This window comes from Homo sapiens, chromosome 7 (genome assembly GCF_000001405.40).
Source record: "Homo sapiens chromosome 7, GRCh38.p14 Primary Assembly".
NCBI classification, from domain to species: domain Eukaryota; kingdom Metazoa; phylum Chordata; class Mammalia; order Primates; family Hominidae; genus Homo; species Homo sapiens.
The window spans coordinates 69230931-69236425 of NC_000007.14; the positions used below are offsets into that span (position 1 = coordinate 69230931).

A 5495-nucleotide genomic window follows, 5' to 3' on the forward strand; every position below is an offset into this window, starting at 1 on the left:
TAACTATGCTCATCTTATGAATGAGGAAAAGACTAGATTAGACTCATAAAGGCTTGGAGTTAGAAGGGACTTAAGAAGCCTGCTGTCAGTTTTCCATCCTAATGTTTAACTTGACAATGATCCCATCCAGTACAGCACATTACATCAAAAGTTATAGAGAGGGCTGGGCACTGCGGCTCATGCCTATAATCCCAACACTTTGGGGGGCCTAGGCAAGTGGATCACTTGAGGCCAGGAGTTCGAGACCAGCCTGGCCAACATGGTGAAACCCCGTCTTTACTAAAAATTCAAAAATTAGCCAGCCATGGTGGTAGGCACCTGTAGTCCCAGCTACTCAGGAGGCTGAGGCAGGAGAATTGCTTGAACCTGGGAGGCAGAGGTTGCAGTGAGCCAAGATCGTGCCATTGTCATCCAGCCTGGGTGACAGAGCGAGACTCCGGCAAGAAGAAAAAAAAAAAAGAAAGAAAAAAAGGAAAACATTCTAGGGAGATAGATGTGAACCCAATATGAAACAATAACTTTTTAAAATCTGAAAATGATCTAGGCATCTTTAAAAAGCAGAGTCTCTGGCCCTACCAGTATGGAGCAAAAGGTAGAAGCTTCTCCCATTAGGAATGACTTGGAGAGATGTTTGCTGTAAATGGGATTAAAAAGCATCAAAGGAGGCCAGGTGCAGTGGCTCACACCTGTAATCCCAATGCTTTGGGAGGCCTAGGCAGGAGGATCACCTGAGCCCAGGAGTTTGAGACCAGCCTGAGCAATTTAGTGAAACCAAGTCTCAAAAAAAATAAAAATAAAAATTAGTAATAATAATTAGATGGGCTCAGTGGCGCATGCCTGTGGTCCTAGCTACTTGGGAGGCAGAAGCAGGAGGATCGCTTGAGATCAGGAGTTGGAGGCTTCAGTGAGCTATGATCGCACCACTACACTTCAGCCTGAGTGACAGAGCAAGACCCAGTCTCAAGAAACAAACAAAAACAACTTAGAAAAAGTTTTGCTGTAGTTGGGATTAAAAAGCATCAAGGGGGCCGGGCACGGTTGTTCACACCTGTAATCCAAGCATTTTGGGAGGCCAAGGTGGGCGGATCACCTGAGGTCAGGAGTTCAAGACCAGCCTGGCCAACATGGCAAAACCCTGTCTCTACTAAAAATACAAAAAAAAAAAATAGCCATGCTGGTGGTGTGCACCTGTAATCCCAGCTACTCAGGAGGCTGAGACAGGAGACTTGCTTGAACCCCGGAGGCAGAGGTTGCAGTGAGCCAAGATTGCACCACTGCACTCCAGCCGGGGTGACAGAGCAAGACTCCATCTCGAAATAAATAATAAATAAGCGTCAAAGGTGTCATCCAACTATTGAGATTTCAAAAGGCTTCTTTGTATTTTTTTTTTTTTATGGATTCCCTCCTGGGATAGGCAGGGGTAGGGGGGACCATCCAGACAGGACTTTGGTCCCCTCTTGTAACGATAGAAGAAAGAACATTGAAATAACAACAGCTCCCTTTTATTGAGCAGGGCGCTCTGCCTTGCATTTGCTGAGGGCGTCTATGCCTTATCTCACCTAACCTTCCCATGGAGCTAGTAGGTGGGTACCCACATGATCCCAAAACTGCGGCACAGAGAAATCAGGTGACTTATCCAGCCGGCAAAAGGATCTCCAGAGTAACCTTCAGTTTCCTGCTCCCCAAGTTTTCCCTGTTTTCCTTGTTTTGAATTCTCTAGCACCCAGGGAGGCCGGCCAGAGACTGACAAGGGCACTTAGGGAGTGGAAATGAAAAACAAAGGCACCTGCAGAGCCAATTAGTGAGTCGAAATTCAACTCCCAAACCTGAGGGTTGGTTCCTTGAGCTAAAGCAGAGAGCTTTGATCACAGTTACTAACTCGTGAACAGCACGGACTGACCTCGGTTCCCTGCGGGGAAAGGTAAACATTCTTGTGGAAATGCAAACACATCACTAATGGTCTAAAATGGCCCTTAATGGAGGCATAATTTCTTTTGGAAACAAGCCCCCCATCAAGGTAAAGGCGATGGTATTGTTGTTACCCCCTGTGGGGATGATCTTTCCAATTCCAGCCAGCAGTCTTTCTCTGGTAGTGACGGCACCCGCAGGGCAGGTGAAGAATGAAATACTAATTTCCTAACCCCCAAATCTGCCTTGATCTGCTTGAAAAGTCAGCACCTCTTCTACTTGGGAGGTGAGTGCCACTCAGTATAGTTCTCCTCTGAAAAGGAAGTGGATAGGTGAGGTTGAGAAGGTATAATTACAGGTGGATCCCGGAACATCTCAGACTGTGATACCAGGCGAGGCTTTCTCTGCCAAGTGCACCCATGAAAGAAACTTCCCCGCCACCATTATCAAAACAGCTGTCAGGAAAGCGCCCCTGTTATTAAATGTCGCTCTGCACGTCTGCATGGGAGGCGTAATCACAGGTGGCCGACCTGGAGGGGAAGCTCTTCAAGGGGAGGAAAGAAAGAAAACACAAGAATGCATGGACTAAAAACACATAAATGAAGTGTAAAAATTCAATTAGAGCTCTAGGAACAGTGAGATGAAGTGGAAAAGTGGGGAACGGGGAAGACTCTCTGAAGGTTTCTTTAGCTCTTTGGTGAATAGATCTGTTCTTTTTTTCTTTTTCTTTCTTTCTCTCTCTCTTTTTTTTTTTTTTTTTTTTTTTTTTTTTTTTTTTGAGATGGGAGTTTCGCTCTTTCGCCCAGGCTGGAGTGAAGTGCTGTGATCTGGGCTCACTGCAACCTCCGCCTCCTAGGTTCAAGCGATTTTCCTGCCTCAGCCTCCTGAGTAGCTGGGATTACAAGCACCCATCACCATGCCCGGCTAATTTTTGTATTTTTAGTAGAGACGGGGTTTCACCATGTTGGCCAGGCTGGTCTCAAACTACTGACCTCAGGCGATCCACCTGCCTCGGCCTCCCAAAGTGCTGGGATTATAGGTGTGAGCCGCTGCACCTGGTCCCTTTTTGTTTTTCAATCCATGGAGCAGAGAGAGAGGTTCTAGAAAGGTGACAAACAGGAGAACGTGCAGTCCCGGCATGGCCATGTCTGTCTGGCCCACCCACCGCTTCCTTCAATGAAATAATGGGGTCTTGGATCAATAAACTAGAAACATATTGGTGGCGTGTCTGACCTGGCCTTTGTCAAGTCATGAAAAACACAAATGACTATCAAAGACCGCTCACCAGGAATAGCTGAGTGAGAGGAAAGGGTAGGTCGGCCTCCCAAGATTCAGGCATGGGGAAACTAAGTAGGATTTGTTATCCCCAGAGTCATCCCCATGATGGGCCAGTGAACTAAAGATAATCTCTAGGTGTGCCAGTGCCAGTCACCAATTAATAAAATTGTCTTTGAGCTGTGGCTAGCAAACCCAGGTGCACATTAGAATTACTGGAGGGAGGGGGTGGTTTAAACAGAATTCAATGGGCTGGGCATGGTGGCTCTTGCCTGTAACCCCCATGCTTTAGGAGGCCAAGGCAGGAGGATTGCTTGAGGCCAGGAGTTCAAGACCAGCCTGAGCAATAAAACAAGACCCTGTCTTTACAAACAACAGCAACAGCCACCAAAAAAAAAAAAAAAAAAGAAGCACACAACCCACAGTTCAATGCTAGGTCTCATTCAAGGACAGTTAATGTAGAATTTCTGGGAGTAGGGGTGGGGGTACTCAAGCAGCCCCTTGTCTTTTTTTTTTTCTTTTTAAGAGACAGGGTCTTGCTCTGTCATCCAGTCTGGAGTGCAGTGATACAAGCATAGCTCGCTGCAGCCTTCAGCCCCTGGGCTCAAGTGATCTTCTACCTTAGCCTCCTGCATAGCTGGGACTACAGGTGTGTACCACCATACCTTACCTGCCTAATTTTTAAAATTTTTTTGTAGAGACAGAGTCTTGCTATGTTACCCAGGCTGGTCTCAAACTCCTGGGCTTAAGTGATCCTCTTGCCTCAGCCTCCAAAAGCACTGGAATTACAGGCATGAGCTGTCTCTCCTGCCGCCCATGACTTTTAAAGCTCCCCAAGATGATTCTAATGTCCAGCCATGATGGAATTACCAATCTGGAAGGAAGCAGGGCTTGTACCCTATCTCCCGGGAATACCCACCCATACTAATCTAAATCCTCCCAACCTCGAAGGCACAGTTCACATGTCATCCCTGAAAAAAAACCATCACTGAGCCCTTAGAGGGTGCAAGATAATGAGCTACACGCTCTCGTGGACACAAATAAGAACAAGACAGTCTCTGCCCAGACAGTTTATAAATGCAGGGAGGGAGAAAGCAAGTGTCTCGTACAGAGGGAGAGCTCAATAAATATTTATGAAATAAAAGAATGAATGAATAAATAAGCGAATGACTTTACAATAATAACACAGCAAATTAAATACATGAAAACAGAAGCAAGTTATTATGCACAGAGGAAGGGATGATCGATGGGGTGGGGGCTGGGGGGGACTATAAAGGTGGTAGCATTTGAATTGGGCATTGAAGGATGCGTAGTAATAACATGTAGCATTTGTTCGGAGCTTTGAATTTGACAAGGGTTTTACATGCATTAACCCATTTAGTGCCTTTCTATAGTGCTTGAGGTCGGCAATGGTTAGTATATAGCCCCTACTTTAGAAGTGAGGAAAGGTCAAATGAGTTAACCAAGGTCATGTAGCTGGTGAGGAAGGGAGCCCGGGTCTCAAGTGTGGAATCCATCGCCTCTCCATAACGCTGCTGTGGACTCGGGACATTCCATTGGGAAAAGGACATTACAGGCCAGGAAAACAGCATAAGAGAGACACGGATGTGTCGTTTTGAGCATGTGGTTTATACATGGAAGGGTGATTTTTTTTTTTTAAAGGAACCTTTCTTTTAGGAAGATGATTGTGAATGCAAGAAGGGCTGGCTGGCATAAAAATGAATGAAACCATGTCCTTTGCAGCAACATGGATGGAGCTGGAGGCCATTATCCTAAGTGAACTAACTCAGAAACAGAAAGCTGTTCTCACTTATAAGTGGGAGGCGAACATTTGGTACACATGGACAGAAAGATGGAAAATTATTATAGACACTGGTGATTCCCAAAGTGGCCAGGGAGGGAGAGGTTGAAAAACTACCTATTGGTGTGTACAGTGTTCAATATTTAGGTGACACGTTTACTAGAAGCCTAATCCTTAACATTATGCAATATTTCCATGTAACAAACATGCAGATGTACCCCCTGAATCTAAAATTTTTTGTAAAAGAAGGGGCCAGGTGCAGTGGCTCATGCCTGTAATCCCAGCACTTTGAGAGGCCGAGGCAAGAGGAGGCCTTGAAGCCAGGAGTTTGAGATCAGTGTGGGCAACATAGCAAGATCCTGTCTCTACAAAAAAATACATAAAAATCAGCAGGTGTGGTGGCATGCACCTGTCATCCTAGCTACTCAGGAGGCTGAGGTGAGAAGATTGCTTGAGCCCAGGTTACGGTGAGCTATGATCGCACCACTTCACTCCAGCCTGGGTGACAAAG

At 46.0% G+C, this 5495-nt stretch overlaps 2 annotated features.

Moving 5' to 3' along the window:
* Window positions 1383-1976: an enhancer, noted in NCBI's record as "OCT4-NANOG hESC enhancer chr7:68697300-68697893 (GRCh37/hg19 assembly coordinates)". NCBI's record gives its function as "activates a minimal SCP1, AML or CMV promoter by ChIP-STARR-seq in naive and primed H9 embryonic stem cells {active_cell/tissue: H9 hESC(naive and primed)}" and the evidence as "EXISTENCE:reporter gene assay evidence [ECO:0000049][PMID:30033119]".
* Window positions 1977-2569: an enhancer, noted in NCBI's record as "OCT4-NANOG hESC enhancer chr7:68697894-68698486 (GRCh37/hg19 assembly coordinates)". NCBI's record gives its function as "activates a minimal SCP1, AML or CMV promoter by ChIP-STARR-seq in naive and primed H9 embryonic stem cells {active_cell/tissue: H9 hESC(naive and primed)}" and the evidence as "EXISTENCE:reporter gene assay evidence [ECO:0000049][PMID:30033119]".